The sequence below is a fragment of the Homo sapiens genome, chromosome 2 (genome assembly GCF_000001405.40).
Source record: "Homo sapiens chromosome 2, GRCh38.p14 Primary Assembly".
NCBI classification, from domain to species: Eukaryota; Metazoa; Chordata; class Mammalia; order Primates; family Hominidae; genus Homo; species Homo sapiens.
The window spans coordinates 4,914,815-4,935,787 of NC_000002.12; the positions used below are offsets into that span (position 1 = coordinate 4,914,815).

Here is a 20,973-nt window from a genome sequence, read left to right on the forward strand (position 1 = left end):
TGCAGCCTTAAGTGAGTCTTGTGGAGGCAGACAGGTCCCCACAGTATCATTTGTTTTAGAGGCAATTTGGACTCTCAACTCATAATTTGTTCCCAGCCACGCCCTGGGGGTGGCAATGAAATTGTCATGTTCTTGTGCAAAATTATGATTTTTACTTTTGGAAATATGTAAAATTACAAGAATATAAAACTCACCACTAGTGGCTGGGGCCAGCTATACTTAATAATCTGTGGTGGGTTTATCTGATAACGGCAAAAAATAGTGTGGTGGGAGGAAGAAGCATGGAGGAGGAGCATAGATCAGGTGTGGTGCATAAATTACTAAATATTCATATGTAACAATTATCAGCTTTGTTTCAAGGGGATGCAACTGAAGTCATGGAGGTATCCTACAGATAATAATCAACTTAATTGGAATTTGAATCAATATATGTCTGACTCCCAAATCCATACACAGGTTGACTCCTAAATTTCGAAAGAGTAAGTACCTATCTTAAATGATATGCAAGATATATCAAATTTTTAAGGGGATTTAGATATTGTGACCTCTAAATGCTCTTTTCAACTTAAAGCATATGTGATTTCATGGTTGATTGAGCCTACCCTGGGAGATGAAAACTGATGTAAGAGAGATATTAAGAAAGCACTGAGACTTAAAACAAAACACACTATTCCTGTTTTGTAAAATTTCATATTAAGACCAAGAAGGTCCCATAGAGATGACTCGCTGCCCTAGGGAATCATGCAACCTAGATCAGAAACGAATATGACTGTGCCTTCCAAACTAGAAATCTGAGTTCTCTGTAATAGAGAAGTGGCTCATCCACCAAAAATAAATAATTGTGTCAAAACAAGAAATGTCTGACTGTTTAAATATGGTTAAAGAAGAATCACCTAATATATGCTGAAAATCAGTAATTCTCATGGGCATCCTACCAATTTCAATAATGTGAGCTTTATAGCAACATCGAGACCAGGAAATAGATGGTCTAAATAAATACACAATCTCAAAAACAGAAATCCTACCTTGTGTGGGTTTTCCTTTACAGACCTCCATGGATTACAAAGGAATCTTCTTCATGGGAAGAGAATGATGGTACTTTAACTTGGGGTGGGAGTGGTTGCAGTATGGAATTATAGTTCAATTCTGTTTCAATTGTAAAATAGTGGTGTTACAGCTTGAAATTTGAGATCTCCTGGGAATTTGTCAACGCTCTGTGAAAGATCCGACTATTTTACAGCTCACAAGAATTTTTTATTTGTTGATGACATTCTCAATCTAGAGAGTCAATAAAATGCTGAATGAGGAGGGAGCCTGCCCACTTAATTGTCACTGGGGTTTAATTCATTTTATTTTGCCTGCTCTTGCCCAGAAAACTTCCCAGGAAAACTAATAACTTTTTGGATGATGTAACAGATCAGAAAACATCTCTTACACTCTCACATCCATCTTGCCTGTGTTCCGCCCCCTCTTCCACCATTCATATTCCGTTCCTTATACTTCTTTAGACATTCACAGCTGCCAGAGATTTAGTTTCACAGTACTGTGCATCATACCAATTTCCTGGAGCAGGGTAGGGAAAGACCACAGGACTTTCTTCATAAATTATAGGATTATTTTAAACCTTATACTCTGATATTTAAAGCTCCACAAAAATAATATCATGCTAACCTGTCTAGCTTTCATTTTTCACCACCCCTTCATGTGTATCTTCGCAGAACACAAACGGGCATAGTCTCCCCTTCCTCTATGGTTTCAGATAACATCTATGTTATTATGACTTCCAAATCATGAATCTAGATTGTTCTTTTGTTCCGTACGCATATATAGCATTGTACAGACTGATGTAGACATTTGCAAAACAATATAGTTTAAAATACTTATAATTTTGTACCCAAACATGCTCCTCTTCCTATGTTGTCCATTTTTACTAAAAATGCAAACATCAATCGATTAGTCCAAGCCAAAAAATCAACTGTCAAAGTCCCCTCCTTTTTTCCATTCATGAGCATACATGCCCTCTGTCCTGATGTTCCACAGATTTTCTCTCTCTCCATTGTCTTTACTGGGCTGTGTCCCCACTATGCTACCTTTCTCCTGCCAACATTCTCATCCTGCAACCCAGGCACATAGAAGGCTTCTTAATTGGCCTACAATCCCATCCACCATAGTTCCAGCTATTTCACCCTCCCTCAGAGCAAAGTTTTCCAAAATGCAAACCTGATCTTGACATTAAAATATGGCCTACATATCTTAATGAGATTTGATCTAGAAGCTCAGTCAATTTTTCCTCACCACCTGTTACAAACTTGTAAGCTCCAGTTATTGTGAACTTCTTCAAATTCAGGAACACATCCTTAATTTTTTGAGACTAGGCCTTTATACAATTTTCCCCTTTGCCTGGAAAATCCTCCCCGCCGCCAACCTCGGTAATTCCCAGCTGCCCTTAAAACTTCTCTTTAGGTATAATTTCTGCCAAGATTTATGATGACACTATGGCTAGACCAAATACCCCCTCTTATATTTTTTTTTTCAGAGCCTCTGCTCCTATCATAACACTTATGCACTATTCAAATGCTTGTTGCTTTCCCCACTGGAAAATAAACTCTCCAGGGACAGAGATTTAAGGTTTGTTCACTGTTGTAGCCTTACCATATAGTGTAGTACCTGAAATACAGAAAAGATTCAATATATTATTTTTTGAATTGAGTAAAATATTTATTTCTTCTGAAACCTCATACCTGCAAATCATTTTTTTTTCCTGTGACTGTGTAATGTTATCTTCATTTAATGATTTTACCCAATCCCAGATCCCAAGAAATGTCAATAATGTAGGTTACTTTTATCCGGCTCTCAGAAGTCCTCCCTGAAAATACCAGTTCACAGTAATCATTCTCTTCTTTAAAAATACTTAGAACCTATTATTTCTTTTTCAAAAACATTTTTGCCTCTCAATACATGACCTTTCTGTTTCTCCTTCTCCCTACCACAAAATGTTCATGATCTTCTATAAGGGAATGTCATGTTTTTCATCCCACATGGAAAATACTATGGTTTGAATTTGTCTCCTAAATCTTATGTATTGGAAACTTAATCCCTAAATTCATGTTGATGATATTTGGAGGTGGGGCCTTTAGGAGGTGATTAGATCCTGAGGGCTCTTCCCCGTGAGTGGATCAAGGCCATTATCACAGAATTGAGCTAGTTATAAAAGGAGGGAGTTTGGCCCCCATTTCCTCTCCGTCTCTTGTGCTCACATCCATCTTAGGATGATACTCACTGGATGCTTTTAGCCTCTGGAACTGTGCACCAAATAAAATTCTATTCTCCCTAAGTTACCCAGCTGGAGATATTCTGTTATAGTAACAGAAAATGAACTAAGACAAAAATTAAAGAATATTTGCTAATTGATCAAATGGCTCTAAATGACATAGTATTTTTTCAGAATTAGAAATACTAATATAATACCCTTTCTCGTTATTCAGAACATTGACATACCACAGCAACCAGAAGTCACTAGTATTTTATGTCTTTATGTCCTTGCTTATTTGCCTGTTGATTTCCCATTTGTAAGCAATTCAAAGTCCACTGCATGATGACAACTGTACCCCAAAACAAGTAGACCTATTTGATCAATTAATTAGAATGTATTTTGAAAAATCAGCTTAACGTTGATTCTTGAAGATGATTCCAAGTAGCAACTTGGACTAGGAAAACTGAATACAATGCCCAGGAGCCCCCGTGGCAGTACAGATGCAAAGTCTGCAACTCAATTTTACTATTCCTTGAACTACAGTACTACATGGGTGGTGCCAAGCAACCGGAATCCTTGAGCAATTTAGGCAATCTGATCAAGCAATCTGATATTGGAAGACATCCTACACAGATTGCAATAAAAAGTAAGTTCTACTTGGTTCTAAACAAGGTAATTCTTAATTTAATTCCTGATCCTACTTTCTATGTTAACATGTTTCATGAAAATCCAATTTTTTGACCATGGTATGAATGAATTTAATTCAGTAAAGAAACATGCATTAAGTTGCTACTTAGGCTGAGTGAATGTAATAGAGAGAAAGCAATTATATTTCTCATTGCCAACTCATTATCTCTACTCACATGTTTCTCAGGCATCTAAACTCAATGTGTCTAAATCAGACCTTAACATCACCCCAGCATGTACCCTGCCCACACACACAGTCAGCCTTCATCTTCCTCTAATGATTGCCATTCCAATAGTCAGCACCCATGGATAATAATTAGGAGTTGGACTTAGGTTTGGATAACAAAGCTGATGGATATTTGTTTAGAAATTATTTTTTCAAAGCTAATTATAATAGTCTATGAAATTATTTCATGCTTTACCTACAATGCACAATAAAAGCCTTCCTGAGTCTATTTTAATTTGCATTTTTCAGAACCACCTTTTCCAACAAAATGATAGCATTCTGAGGACATTTTGTCATAAGAGTCATTGTATGTATTTGTTTTATATTCATAATATGTATCAATAATAATTTCTGTCATTGTACATTTCATGATTTGGGTCATTATTTCTATTAAGTGTACTTCTGGGATTTTTTTCAGTCAAATTGTGCTTCAGAATATCATCATAAGCAGTTTTAGCAGCTGCCAAGAGTATTTTGTGTCAATTTTTTCAACTAATTAATATGCACAATGACTGTTTCAAATGATTGTTTCCATCACTTTATTAACAAAACCATAAGAAAATTGATATCAAGACCCCTCAGTTAGCCCAAAAGTGTTTCATTGTCCTGGACTGGTTTACCCTATGCCAATCGCATTCTTCCATAATGCCCATGCATTTGGCATTGCAGTGGCATCCCCTGATGCCATTGCTAGCACAAGGAATCAAGTCCTGGAGCAGAGAGCCCTTCGGGTGAAAATAAATGCTAATCCATAGTATCTTTCTCTGAGTAGGAATACACAGAGGGGCACGTGAAAAAATTGCAAAGACTGTATTCCACATCTACTGCAACCATTAAGGTGAAGAAACCGCAAAGCTTTACTCTGAAAATTTCTAAAATGTCACAGAGTCAAAAATATGTACTTACTAATTATTTATGCTAAACATTTCAAAGGCAAAATTTCATTATTTAAAAATTGATTTAGCTGGGTACAGTGGCTTATGCCTGTAGTTCCAGCAACTTGAGGCTGAGACGAGAGGATGGCTTGAGGCCAGGAGTTCAAGGCTGCAAACAGCTATGATGACTTCACTGCACTTCAGCCTGGGTGTCAGAGTGAGACCCTATATCTAAAATAAATAAATATTAATTTATAAATATTTAGGTGCAATATGAGCCTGGTATGTTGAAGGAAAGCAATTCATGAAATAAAATATCAACACTGCTTTGTCTCCTAATGTTCCTTTAAAATGCTTTATCCGCTACTAGTTGAAAATATTAAGAGATCCTATGCCATTTATCTTCATCTTTAATTAATAGATAGTGCTTTTAATATTATATTAAAAATATAATATTATCTCAGAACCAAGAAAGAGATAATCCAAAAATCATTATCCTTAAGTTATCTAACAAAATAAGTGCAAGACCTGTACATTTTAAGTTATAAAACAATGATAAAAGAAATAAAAAATCATCTAAAAAATAAAGCAACTAAGTATTATTATAGGTTGAATGACTCAGTCCAGGTCAGATGTCAATTCTCCCAAAATTGAAGTACAAACCCAATATGGTCCCAATGGAACAGGATAGAATCTAGAAATAGACGCATACTTATATGGTTAATTAAATTTTTACCAAGATGCAAATGAAATTCAATGGAGAAAATAATATTTTCCAGAGATGATGCTGAAACAATTGGACATTAATAAAACAATAACAAAAACCAAAAATCTGGGTACATACTTTTATAATCTAAATAAAAATTTCAAACTAGTCCATAAAATTAAACTTAAAACCTAAAACTGGAAATTTTCAGAAGATAAAATAAAAGAAAATCTTCATAATATTGCATTAGAAAATTTTTTCACTGTAACATGAAATACGCAATCACTAAAAGTAAAAATGACAAACACAATATCCTCACAATTAAAAAACACTGCCCTTTGAAAGATCCTGTTAAGAAAAGAAAAAGACAAATGACAGGCTATGACACATTTGCAAGAAATATGTGCTAAAGGACGTGCATCCAGAATATATAAATAATTCTCAAAATTCAATAATAGGAAAACACAAAATGCAATTAAATTTTGGCTAATAATTTAAACAGATGCTTTACAAACGAAAATACACAGATGGCATATAAGCATTTAAAAGGATGCCTAACTTCATTATTCATCAGGAAATTAAAAACTAAAACCACAATGAGATATCACTATACACCTGTTAAAAAAGCGAAAATTAAAAAAATAATAATAAATGAAAAAGAAAGAAATACACGGGATGATACTAACTCCTGATTGAAACTCTCATTTATTGCTGGTGGGAATAGATAATGTTAAAGCCACTCTGGAAAACATCTTGGCAGGTCCTTAGAAAATTAAACATACACCTACCATTTTGACCCAAGGAGACCACTTTCAAGTGGTATGCAAGAGAAATTAAATTGTAACAAAACCTACACATGAATGTTTTCTGGCCACCTTATCCATAATTCAAAAATACTGGAAACATCCAAAATGCTCTGTGGCTGGTTATTAGATAAACAGTGGCACATTTGTAGAATGTGACATCTCTTATTAATAACAAGGAACAAACTACCCAATACTCTTAACAAAATGTATGAATATCTAATGCAGGATTTGAAGTGAAAAGGCCAGACTCAAAAAGGCTACAGATTGTATGATTCCATGTGTACAACTTTGTGGAGAAAACAAAACTGCAGGGACTGGAAATAGAGGAGAATTTGCCAGGGGCTGGAGGTGGGGATGATTTTCCTACAAAAGGGTGGGGGCAGTTTTGGAGGGTGTTGGGATTGTTCTATGTCTTCATCTAGGCAGTGGTTACACATCTTTCTGTATTTGTCAAAACTCATAGAACAGTACAATAAACATAGTGAATTTTATTATAAGGGGACTTTACCACAAGAAAACTGATGTTTATATGTATAAATATATATATGTATATATATATATGTATATATAAATATATGTATATGTGTATATATATGTGTATATATAAATACATGTATATGTGTATATATATGTGTATATATGTATATATAAATATATGTGTATATACATATAAATATATATGTGTGTATATATATATAGTATTTTAATTATGTGAGGGAGGCTGTATTACTCCATTTTCACACTGCTGCTAAAGACATACCTGAGACAAGGTAATTTATAAAGAAAAGGAGTTTTAATGGACTCACAGTTCCACGTGGCTGGGAGGCCTTACAATCATGGCAGAAAGTGAAAGACATCTCTTACACGGTGGCAGGCAAGAAAGAGTGAGAACGAAGTGAAAAGGGAAACCTCTTATAAAACCATCAGATCTCTTGAGACTTATTCACTACCAGGAGAACAGTGTGGGGAAAACCGTCTTCATGATTCAATTATCTCCAATTATGTCCCTTCCACAACATGTGTCAGGGGAGCTCCAATTCAAGATGAGATTTGGGTAGGGACACAGCCAAATCATATCAGAAGCAATACTCTGATGTTGCAGAAAGATACAGCAGGCATATTTGGCTCCATAAATGTGCATATATTTACATGTAATAGGAAAAGAATATTGAAGGAAATAAAGTATTTCCACAAATCTCAGAGAAAATGTTTCCGTGAACTCAGAGGATTCGGATAAAATCTTGAAAGAATATAGTTATATTTTCCTATCTCATTTGCTAAGGCAAAAATAGAAAGCCTAATAGAAAAAAAAGAATAGAAAAGGCAAATAGAAAAGCAATTTAAAAATGGAAAAAAATCCACATGTGGCCAGAAAGAAACGATTATTCTATAAAGTGCCTAATCCAATTGAATTCATAGTATACAGTTGACTGCTGAACAATAGGAGCTTGGATTGCACGGGTTCACGTATACATGGATTTTCTTCTGCCCCTGCCACCCCTGAGACAACAAGACCAACTTCTCCTTTCCTTTTTCTCCTCTGCCTACTCAACATGAAGTTTTGATGATCCACTTTTACCTAATAAACAGTAAATATATTTTCTCTTCCTTATGATTCTCTTAGTAACATTTATTTTTCTCTAGCTTACTTTAAGAACATGGTATATGACACATGTAACATAAAAAGTATGGATTAATAGACTGTTTATGTTATTGGCAAAGTGACCAGTCAACAGTAAGCTATTCGTAAGTTAATTTGGGGTAGTAAAATATTACACTCAGATTTTTGACTGTGAGGTCTATGCCACAAACCCTCGTTGTTCAAAGGACAACTGTGTCCTTTGAACAACATTACACAGGAAAATTAATAAACAAATGAATTGTAATTAATTGTATATGAAAGCAGAATTTTTTGACAAAAAGGGGTTCTGTGGTACTTGAAATTATGAGCTTGGACTAATACCCAGCTTTGGGGAAGCTACACATGTATAAGAGTATTCCTGTTTAAAGTACACTAGACATTTATTACATCGTCTCTGGGAAATGTGTTAGTTTTGTAGGTAGGGCTGTTGCAAACAAATCCCCTAACAGGGAGGCTTAAACAACAGAAGCGATTCTATCACAGTTCTGAGGCCGGAAGTCTGAGACCCAGGTTGGTTCCTTCTGAGGGCTAAGGTAGGGACCTGTTCCAGGCCTTCCTCCTCGGCTTGCAGATGGTGTCTCCTCCTTGTGTCTTCGCACTGTCTCTCCTCTGTGTGTCTGTGTCCACATTTCTTCTTTATAGAAGGATACAGTTCTATTGGACTAGGATCCATGCTCGTGACCACATCCTAACAGGATCTTTTCAAAGACTCTCTCTCCAAATGAGTCTCATTGGGAGGTACTGGGGGTTAGGACCTCAGCATATGAATTGTGGAGACACAGTCAATCTACAACAGGGGACTTCCTGCACAGCTGAAACTAACAAGTGGAAGGTCTGAGCTGAAAGCAGAAAGTGTGTGTGTATGTGTGTGTGTGTACATTTGGGGTGTGTGGTGGTGTGTGTGGTGTGTATGTGTATATTTATGGGATGTATGAGGGGCTGTGTATGAGGTGTGCACTTGTTACGTATTTATGTGTATGTGTGTATTCTGTGTGCCATAGGTATATGTGTATCTGTACAGTATGTCATCTGTGTAAACATGTACATTTAGGTTGTGTGTCTTTTGTGTATGTGTCAGTGTAGTGTGTGTCATCTATGTGAGTGTATGAATGTAGGGCATGTCTGTGTGATGTGTGCCATGTGTATCTGTGTATGGTGTGTGTCATCTGTGTGCATGTATGTCTGTAGGGTGTGTATGTGTATATGTCATGTGTGTGTCTGTGTGTGATGTAAGTATGTGCCATCGGTGTACACATACGTATTTCGGGTGTGTGTGGCATATGTCATCTGTGTGAGTGTATGTAGGTAGGGAATGTCTGTGTGATGTGTGTTATGGGTATCTGTGTATGGTGTGTGTGTGTCATCTCTATGTGCATATATTTCTGTAGGGTGTGTGTGGTGTGTGTCATGTGTATGTATCTGTGTGTGGTGTTTGTGTGTGTCATCCATGCACATATTTGTATTTTGGTTGTGTGTGGCATGTGGCATGTATGTGTGTGTGCTGTATGTGGTGTGTGTATCATATGTATGCAGGGTATATCTGTGTGGCACGTGTCATGTGTATAAATTATGCAATCATGTTTCTCTAATTGGGGTGTTTACAATCTAGTTGAAGAAAGATATTCAGATGGGAAAAAGTAACCAATAGTAAAAATCAGCATGGGCCTGGCGCAGTGGCTCACGCCTGTAATCCTAGCACTTGGGAGGCCACGGCCGGTGGATCACCTGAGGTCAGGAGTTCGAGACCAGCCTGGCTAACATGGTGAAACCCTGTCTCTAATAAAAAATACAAAAATCAGCCGATGTGGTGGCACATGCCCGTAGTCTCAGCTACTCAGGAGGCTGAGGCATGAGAATTACTTCAATCCAGGAGGCAGAGGTTTGCAGTGAGCTGAGATCACACCACTTTAGTCCAGACTGGGCAACAAAGCAAGATTCCATCTCAAAAAAAAAAAAAAAAAGGAAAAAAAAAAGAAAAAAAGTCGGCATGGGAAAATGCCAGGCATTCTAAGAATAAACACATAATTTAGTGAAATAAAATAACTTTCAAATGGAGCAGTGACACAGGGTTTATAAAATATATAAAATTAAAGCCAGGCCTTATTAGAAATGTCAATAGGATTTAGATAGGGATGAAATGAGAAAAAATAAAAACAGGAGTTTGAATTGAGGTGAAAGGCTTAATTCCTCTCGTTCTCAGCAACTGTGACAGAGACGTCTCCCTTCCCTCCAAAGTCATGGCGTGGCTGCTGAGTGGCTGTGGCCAGCAGACTCTGTGCCCCACCTGCCAACACTGGGCATTCCTTCCATATACTTTCCTTTTTTTGAGACCTGAAACATGGAAACACAGAAATGCTGCACTTCCAGCTCTGATAACATGAGGAGGGAAAAGAAAGGGGTTCTTCTGTGACCATGTAGGAAGCCACTTTTGTGCCCAAATGGCCTAGAGAATAGACAGCCACCAACTGCAATGTGCTCCATGGGGTTTCTGCTCTATCGGAGCCACGCTTAGGGGCCTCACCGTTACCGCTGCTCGGCCCTTACTCCTAGGGCGTGTGGTCTGTGTATTAGGATGATGCGTGGCTCTTAGAAGAAAGCACACGTGGAAGTGCTTTAAAAATCACAAGGCAATTTTTTAAAGGTGACCCGTGGCACATAGAAGGGTAACATCAACCATTGATAGCCTGATCGAGTACAGGGATTGAAAAATAAGGATAAATGCCAATCCCCCTGGAATGTGGATATAGAGCCTAAATATGCATGAAGAAAATAAAATCTTAGTAATCATATAATAATAATGCCTCATTCAATTTAGAAAGCCATATTTTTATCAGTTCATTCGTATACATCTTAAGTAGGTTTAACAGGTGATTCTGCTTAAAAGGTAAGCAAACTGAAACACTGAACAATGAGGAAAACTGTCCTCTATTTGTGGTTAACAATTTGTGGCAGAACTGATAAAAGTACCCGAATACTAATCTCTTACAAGCCCACAAACCCTACTTTCCCTCCCAAGGGATGTTAAGAACAGCAGATCACAGATGAGCTCAGAAAAGAGAAATTTTCATCATTAAAGTACAAACCTTCATAATTCTATAGACCTAAAAGTATAATTTTTAGAGAGTTTTAAACGATAAGAAGCTAAGAATTTTCCATCTGATTTGTGGTCACCAATTATTTGTAAGGCTGTTCAAAGGAATGCCCAAAATGATGTTGCTGACCTATAAGGAATCTCAGAAGGAATTTTTGTGCATGTAAACACAGGGCCATTTAATGCCATGGAAGACAAATGTATCTACATTTCCGTGGGAATGTCCATAAGGAATTCTATTTTTTATTTATTTATTTATTTATTTATTTATTTATTTATTTATTTTTTTTTTTTTTATTTTTTTGAGATGGAGTCTCACTCTGTCACCCAGGCTGGAGTGCAGTGGCGCAATCTCAGCTTACTGCAAGCTCCGCCTCCCGGGTTCACGCCATTCTCCTGCCTCAGCCTCCTGAGTAGCTGGGACTACATGCGCCCACCACCATGCCCGGCTAATGTTTTTTGGGTTTTTTTTTGTATTTTTATTAGAGACGGGGTTTCACCGTGTTAGCCAGGCTGATCTCGATCTCCTGACCTTGTATTCTGCCCGCCTCGGCCTCCCAAAGTACTGGGATTACAGGCGTGAGCCACAGCACCTGGCCAAGTAATTCTAAATTAACAAGTTTTTCTTCTAAACAATCATTTGCAATGTTGAAAATACTGGTTGATATTTCTCTCAAATACAAACTTTTCAATTAGAAAGTCATTCGTGGTCGGGTGCGGTAGCTCATGCCTGTAATCCTAGCACTTTGGGAAGCCGAGGCAGGCAGATCACCTGAGGCTGGGAGTTTGAGACCAGCCTGTCCAACATGGAAAAACCCTGTTTCTATTAAAAATACAAAATTTAGCCAGGTGTGGTGGTGGCACCTATAATACCAGCTACTCTGGAGGTTGAGGCAGGAGAATCACTTGAACCTGGGAGGCGGAGCTTGCAGTGAGCCAAGATCACGCCACTGCACTCCAGCCTGGCCACAGAGTGAGACTCCATCAAAAAAAAAAAAAGCTTCCTTAATATGAATTACCTTCCTTATTTTAAAATTTTAAAAGCATTGACAAGAGCTGGTTTGGGGTGAAGACAGTTCCTTCAGAAACGGGCTGATGTGACTGGGAGGAGGCTCCAGCAGGGGAGTGGAGTGGCTGTTGGTGCAGGGATGACCTGGCTGCACAGGCCCTTCAAGATCCATTCTGCCCACCTAGCTTCAGGAAAGAAATTGTCCTGGGTAGCTGTAAAATAGACAATAATCAGGTTGACAGTCAGAAGAGGATGCTGAAATGTCTCCATTGGCAGATCTGAGAAACTCCAGAGGAAATTGAAGAGTAGGTCTTCTGATGGAGGCAATCCATAACAGAAGAGATAGTAGGCTAACAACGTCTTCCAGGAGGCAGTGATGACTCAGAAGCTTACAGGAGCCAAGGAAATAATCATGAAAAACCAACAGTGGAGATAAACAAAAACAAATGAATGTATACCTGGAAGAGTATCCCGTGATCAGAGTTACTGGAATGCACTTACGCAGATTGAAAGGGAGGCTGAAAGACTGTTGGCAAGACACTAGATAAGAAGAGAAATAAAACATGCTTGAAGACATATGTATTACATCGCTGATGTTAGAGGCCTGTAATTCTGCTCCACTGGTATTGGACTCTTGTAGGAAAAGACTTTAACCCACTTCCAGCCATTTGGGAAGATAAACTGAGGAAAGAGTTGGCAGACATAACATAGGCTATCCAAAAAAGTTTTAATTTCAGATACATGATGAATAATTTTGAGGATAACTATGTCCCAAGTACTTTTATGAATTAAAACTTGGGATATATCTATAATAAAGAGGTATTTATTGTTTATTATCATTTATCTGAAATTAAAATATGCCTTGGTGCCCTGTATTTTTGTTTGAAACATCTTGCAGCCCTAGTTGAGAAAAAGTCGGAAAGATAGATGTCACACACTAAAATCGGCCTAAATCAGAATCCCCAAATGATGAAAGCTATTAGGGCTTACAGAATGGATACTAAGGATCAGGGAGGTTTGGTTGATATTAAGTATCATATTAAGGAAAATCCCTGATCTCAAAGAGAATTTCAGGTGTCAATATTTCATCTCATTTGCCTGCAGGAAAAGAATGGAAGTCCATGGTCTTCAGAGTAAGTTACACAATCTACTTAAGCCTAAACACGGTGTCCCCATAGCATCCAGCATTGCCAAAATGATGAGAAATGTGACTGTAGTTTCTAAAAGCAGACAGGCATAGTTTCTAAGTTAGGTAAGACTTTGTGGAGCAACAAAGAGTAGAGTTTCAAATGATCACATTTATAGAGAGAAGAAAAGTAGACAGGAAAGAGGAATTCTTACATGAAAGTCTTTGCTCCTTTCCACGTTTTTGGGGGTTCACACGCTGCATCAAGTTCCACTCTGCAAGTGGCTCAGCATGTTGGGGAAGTGGTGGCTGCATAAAACTGCCTGAAAATGCTCAGTTTTCATGAATCTTCGGGTTTCCCATCAACATGAGTCTACCCTGTTGAGCCCAAACCCAGCCCTCATCCTGCTGGGCTGAGCAATCTGTCGTGGCTCCTAATCTCCACTCGAACATAATTCCGAGCGCATGGCATTGAAGCTGTGTGTTTACATGTCAGCTCTTGGCCTCACTCCCTCACAAGTATCCCATTTAATAACAGCAGTAAGCCCGGTGCGGTGCCTCATGCCTGTAATCCCAGCACTTTGGGAGGCTGAGGTGGGAGGATCACCTGAGGTCACGAGTTTGAGACCAGCCTGGCCAACATGGTGAAACTCCGACTCTACTAAAAATATTAGCCAGGCGTGGTGGCTCTTGTCTGTAATCCCAGCTACTCAGGAGGCTGAGGCACGAGAATCACTTGAACCTGGGAGGCAGAGGTTGCAGTGAGCCTAGATCCTGCCAGTGCACTCCAGCCTGCGTGACAAAGGATGGTTCTGTCTCAAAACAATAATGATGATAACAATAATAGCAGCAGTAGAATCGGTGAATGAAATACCTGTTATGTGACCGGGTATTGTGTACTCAGCGTGAAATAACATAAGTGAAATGCAAGGAATAGTGAATGCGTGACAAAGCCCTAGCATATTAAATGTAAACACATGAGAACATTCCAGCAGAACAACAAGGAAGGCAAGCGATGCAGGTGCCGACAAAACGCAGTGGCTCCGGATGTGCCCTCGACGGAAGGGAAGCCATGAGGGGAAGCAGAGAAAAGGGTGTCGATAGAGAAGGAGGTGAGAGTACAGCGAAGGAACAGGAGGATGAAAGAGGTGGGCGGCACGGGCCAGGCAGAGTCAGCGGTGGAGGAGGCTGAGGGCCAAGGGGTCCTCAAAAGATTCTCCTTTGGGATGAAATGAGAAGGATCTAGAGTTGAAGAAATGCTGGGAGACTCATGCATTCCAGAAATATTTTAACGGGGAAATGATTAGACCTTGTCTCTGGCCAACTTGTCTGGATAACAGAGGAAAAAATAATTGTCAGATATGACAAGAAGTTTAGTACATGAGGCACCAAGAGAATATGTTCTCTGGAGATGGAAACAGAAGTTGGGGAATAAAAAGGAGAGTTTGGGAAAATAAATAAATAAATCAATAAATAACTCTTGATTATCTTTGCTAGGGGAAACCGGTAAGGGCATTCTTAACATTGTAGACAAGTACGTTCTCCAGCTGCACTTACGTAAAGCCATACTTTAAAAGAGGGAAACTTTTTCAGTTAAGTATCCCATATTGTAAAAGAATAAAATTTTTATTTAAGAAAAACTTACAAGAATGCATATAGCAGATGATTGCTGGTTAGTCCTTTAACAAATCATTTGTGAAAATAAATATAGCACATGAAACTAAGAGTATCCAAGGAAACCCCAGATCGGTGGCTAAAATTTTTGAAGTACAGACACTTTCAATAATAATTGTTTATTGACGTACGCTATTTAACCTCTAAAACTGGTCAATTAAATATAAAAATAAAGCAATATTTTAATAGAAAGAGTATTTCCAATGATATCTGTGCATGTAGAAATGCAAACAATAGAGCAGGCATGGCGGCTCAAGCTTAATCCCAGCACTTTGGGAGGCCAAGATGGGCGGATCACCTGAGGTCAGGAGTTCGAGACCCACTTGGCTAACATGGCAAAACCTCATCTCTACTTAAAAAACACAAAAATTAGCTGGACGTGGTGGCAAGCACCTGTAATCCCAGCTACTCGATAGGCTAAGACAGGAGAATCACCTGAACCCGGGAGGTGGAGGTTGTAGTGAGGTGAGATCGCACCACTGCCCTCCAGCCTGGGCAACAGAGTGAGACCCCACCGGAGAGGAGAGGAGAGGGGAGGGGAGGGGAGAGGAGGGGAGGGGAGGGGAGGGGAGGAGAAGGGAGGAGAGGGGAGGAGAGGGAAAGAAAAGGAAAGGAAAAGAAAAGAGAAAGAAAGAAAGAGAAAAAGAAAAAAAAAGTTAAACAATAAAGCAGTAAGTAGTATGCCACTTTTCAACTTTTTTGATCAATGGCTACCAGATACTAGAATTTTAAATTTGCTGCCTTCGAAATGATTTACAATTGGTGAAGAAACATCTTGATTTAGATTTTTTAATAGAAATCAATGACTGAACAATTCAAGTTTTACTCTCTAAGTAAAATTAAACATCTATTGTCTAATTCCAGTGTAGTTAGCACAGACAGGCAAAACCAACTGCAGCTCCCCGGGTGGGGTGCGATCCCATCAGGCCTTGACAGAAGGAGCCATCTGGATACAGGAGACCGGCAGGCAGTCTGCAAAGCATTACCCTGGCGTGCTAGACGTCACCTTTTCAGCTACAATGGCTATAATTTGAAGAGCTAGTTTCTCTCATCTTGAAGCTTTATACCTTTCAGATGACACTAAAGGAACAATTTTCCTAGACAAACTGGGTATAATTTGGGTAATCTCTGCATGGCAGGCACCTGTACCTTCATTTGCATTTACACAATTCCTTTTTAATCTGGTAATTATGTAAATAGCAGACAAGATTTTTGACATCTCACTTTCTTATTCTGCTTTGGAAAATGACTAGACATTACATTGCAGGCAATTTGCTATTTTAACATGCACAAAAGATGGATTCATTTAAGCAAAAATAGAGTGAATAACTGCATTTCTGCTCTCCAAAATGCACCATGTATTTTTGTTCAATTGTATAAGTCCACAGGATTTATATAACTGGAGGAGTCTGTTCAAAACTCCAGCTCGAGTCCTGGACTTGGGTCATTGGTGTCTTTTCCACACCCCTCCCCCAACCCCGACTTGCTGGACTTGCCCCAAGGCTCTATATGAACAACGGAAAAAAACAGACACTGTCCTAGAAGCTAAGGCCACAATACAGGCGTTATGTATAACAAGCTCTAGTAATGCCGCTTTAATTATAATTACACCACCAGCAGTGCAACACTTACCACTAAAAAGGCAAAAAAAAATAAAGCATATGAACGTGTATTTTCTAAACCAATTCCCTACAAACTAAATTATTGCTGGCATTGTATTTTAGTAACTGTAAATTTCTCTAAGTTAATTATTCACTCTGACTCTCTATTTGTAAAATAGAGATAATACCATACATTTAGGAGACGGTAGAGGTAAAATAGGATGACAGTGGTGAGATAACATACAAGGCACCTGTCAAATAGTCACACTAGCGTTTGATAAATGCTAGCTGCCTCCTCACCCTGATTCTGATGGTGTTCTGGACTCTCCACCTTAAGCCTGCCTGACAGTAGCCAGGGGACTGGTGTCTCCTGGGTGAGAGGCATGCAGTCCTATTACAGCCCCGGTACCATAGCCATGGGCAGCGTGTCGGTACAGTACGTGCCACACAGTCAGAGTCACTCTGACCAGGCACTCCTGAGTGTCTTTGACATTAGGAGATGTAGTGAATGTTGAATTACTGGCCATGCAGGATTTATATATAGTCAGCATCTCTTTATCCCAAAAGCCTGAATTTACAAACAGGGTAAAAATGAATGCCTTTCATCAGCTTTAATTTTCTAATGCAGTGACCCATCCTAGCACTGTGTAATAACAGGTCCCAGAGTGACAATTAAAATAAATCACCCTACAGAATATGCCATTAAAAGCATTCATGCCTCATCAGTAACTGGATTGTCTTATATAATATATCCTGAGGAAATATTTATAACTTTAGCTTCAGTTCCCCAAAGCACACGTTGATTAATATCCTGCCCTTGTAGATTTCTCAGAAATTGAAACATGGTTCCAATATTATTTTCTGGGTGACAGTCTAATTTTATTTTAATGGGGAACACCAGTGGCTAATCATGAACCAATAGTTATTGATCCATAATAGACTACCTTCCCGCAGAGCCCATGGAAAACATAAGCCTCTGCACATTCCTTCCTTTTAAAGAAAAACTCTTGAATGGCAGATTATTTTTCCTCTCTAAATTAAGGAGATATTGGTCTTTGGAAGGAACAACATTGAAACATTAAATATATTCCTTCTTTACTCTTCTAAAAAAGTATATTCTAAGTAATGAAGAAACTGTAAACCAAAAATGAAATTCTAAACCTCCAAACTGACTGAACGGGGAACACTCTGGGCCAAAGGGACCCGAGAGAAGCTTGAAAACCTGAATTCCTGGCAAGACAGGGAAGGGGGTCCAACACACTCTCTTTGGAGTTTAGGTACAACTGACCAGCATTAACGTTGAAACAGAGATCACAAAACAGACTTTTTGTGGCAATAAAATATCACATTTCAAACTGACACTGGTCCAACATCATATGACAAATAGCAGACCCTGAGAGACATTAAAATATTTTACCCAAAAATAAATATCTTTGGCATATTTTGAAATAGCCCTGCAAAGCCACCTGGTGTGATTTGACAGTGTCCCCATCCAAATCTCAACTTGAATTGCATCTCCCAGAATTCCCCTTGTGGGAGGGACCCATGGGGAGGTAATTGAATCACAGGGGCTGGTGTTTTCCGTGCTATTCTCATAATAGTGAGTAAATATCACGAGATCTGATAGGTTTACTGGGGGTTTCTGCTTTTGCTTCTTTCTCATTTTCTCTTGTTGCTGCCATGTAAGAGGTGCCTTTCACCTCCCGCCATGATTCTGAGTCCTCCCCAGCCATGTGGAACTGTAAGTTCAATTAAACCTCTTTTTGTTCCCAGTCTCAGGTATGTCTTCATCAGCAGCATGAAAACAGACTAATACACCATCTTTTATGGAAGAAATTTGCATCTGTAGAGCATCTCCATTAGTACAGTCAGGCCTTTCCTCCTCTAGGAGAGATTAACTATGAGTCTGACATGTTTTAAGGTCCATCTGAAAGGAAAACAGGTATTTACCATCTACCCTCTCTGGAAGCTACCAAGGAGGCTTCATCTACATCACAAGAACCCTAGGGTCAACGACCCCCACTTCTCTTAACTCAAGCATTTCTTTCTACTGACTTCAAGTCTTTAGACAAAGCTTAGCTCTTTCCACTAATTACCAATTAGAAAATCTTTTAACCCACCTATGACCTATAATGTCCCTCCCTCTTGAAGATATCCTGCCTCTTTAGGCTGAATTAATGTACACCTTTTATGTACTGATTTATGATTTCATCTACAATTCCTATTTCCCTAAAATGTATAAAGCCCACCTGTAACCTGACCTTCTCAGACACACTTTCTCAAGACTTCTTGAGACTGTTTCCTCGGGCCAGGGTCACTGATATTGGCTCAGAATAAACATTTTTAAATATTTTCCAGAGGGTTTTTTGTTTGTTTTTGTGTCCAAGGAATATATGGGGAGAACTCAGGTATAGGTTAACAAAAGCCACATATTTCCTCCTATCAAAAACTTCCCAGTCTTTACCATTCAAAGAAAACTTGAGGGTTCCGCAGACATCCAGCTCACAGTGGACAATTGTATTCACTTTCTGCCACCATAGGGTAAGACCCGGCATGTCACCATCTACTGGTGAGTTGCTCAGCTCCTATGGGCTAAGACAAACAAGAATAAGACCTAGAGAAAGAAAAACTCTACAGTAGCATATTTAGGTAAACTTTTCATTTCGGTAAACTCAAGTCCTCAGGCACTTCCTTGGCATCTATTATTTGGAAAGAGTCCTCAAGTCCTCAGACACCATCCTTGCCATCTGTTATTTAGAAAGGGTCTTGTTTTTTGAAACTCATAGGTAGTACCTCTTCTTACTACAAGGAAAGATTGAAATATTCTATGTTTGAAATCTCTACATTATTTACTTTCCTAAGCTTTAATTTTCCGTCCTGCTATTTTATAGGCAAAATACCTGCTAACAACCTGAAACTGCAGTGGTAGGAATTGCTGGTGTATCCGGAATTGGTGGGTTCTTGGTCTCACTGACTTCAAGAATGAAGCCGCAGACCCTCGCGGTGAGTGTTACAGCTCTTAAGGTGGCGCGTCTGGAGTTTGTTCCTTCTGATGTTCAGATGTGTTCGGAGTTTCTTCCTTCTGGTGGGTTCGTGGTCTCGCTGGCTCAGGAGTGAAGCTGCAGACCTTTGCGGTGAGTGTTACAGCTCTTAAGGCAGCGAGTCTGGAGTTGTTCGTTCCTCCCGGTAGGCTCGTGGTCTTGCTGGCTTCAGGAGTGAAGCTGCAGATCTTCGCGGTGAGTGTTACAGCTTATAAAAGCAGCGTGGACCCAAAGAGTGAGCAGTAGCAAGATTTATTGCAAAGAGCGAAAGAATAAAGCTTCCATAGTGTGGAAGGGGACCCGAGCGGGTTGCCACTGTTGGCTCAGGCAGCCTGCTTTTATTCTCTTATCTGGCCCCACCCACATCCTGCTGATTGGTAGAGCCCAGTGGCCTGTTTTGTCAGGGTGCTGATTGGTGCATTTACAATCCCTGAGCTAGACACAAAGCTTCTCCACGTCCCCATCAGATTAGTTAGATACAGAGTATCCACATAAAGGTTCTCCAGGGCCCCACCAGAGCAGCTAGATACAGAGTGTCCATTGGTGCATTGGCAAACCCTGAGCTAGACACAGGGTGCTGATTGGTGTGTTCACAAACCTTGAGCTAGATACAGAGTGCCGATTGGTGTATTTACAATCCCTGAGCTAGACATAAAGGTTCTCCACATCCCCACCAGACTCAGGAGCCCGGCTGGCTTCACCCAGTGGATCCCGCACCGGGGCTGCAGGTGGAGCTGCCTGCCAGTCCCGCGCCGTGCGCTCGCACTCCTCAGCCCTTGGGTGGTCGATGGGACTAGGTGCCGTGGAGCACGGGGTGGCACTCGTCGGGGAGGCTCGGGCCTCACAGGAGCCCATGGAGTGGGTGGGAGGCTCAGGCATGGCGGGCTGCAGTCCCGAGCCCTGCCCCTCGGGAAGGCAGCTAAGGCCCGGCGAGAAATCGAGCGCAGCTCCGGTGGGCTGGCACTGCTGGGGGACCCAGTACACCCTCCGCAGCCGCTGGCCCGGGTGCTAAGTCCCTCATTGCCCGGAGCCGGCAGGGCCGGCCGGCTGCTCCAAGTGCAGAGCCCGCCAAGCCCACGCCCACCCGGAACTCCAGCTGGCCCGCAAGCGCCGTGTGCAGCCCCGGTTCCCGCTCGTGCCTCTCCCTCCACACCTCCCTGCAAGCTGAGGGAGCCGGCTCTGGCCTTGGCCAGCCCAGAAAGGGGCTCCCACAGTGCAGCGGTGGGCTGAAGGGCT

The 20,973-nt window shown here is 40.0% G+C and overlaps 1 annotated feature.

Annotated features, from left to right (window-relative positions):
• Positions 9,968 to 10,175: a silencer, noted in NCBI's record as "fragment chr2:4972372-4972579 (GRCh37/hg19 assembly coordinates)". NCBI's record gives its function as "represses an EF-1alpha promoter that drives an FKBP-Casp9 reporter gene in an ReSE screen in K562 erythroleukemia cells {active_cell/tissue: K562}" and the evidence as "EXISTENCE:reporter gene assay evidence [ECO:0000049][PMID:32094911]".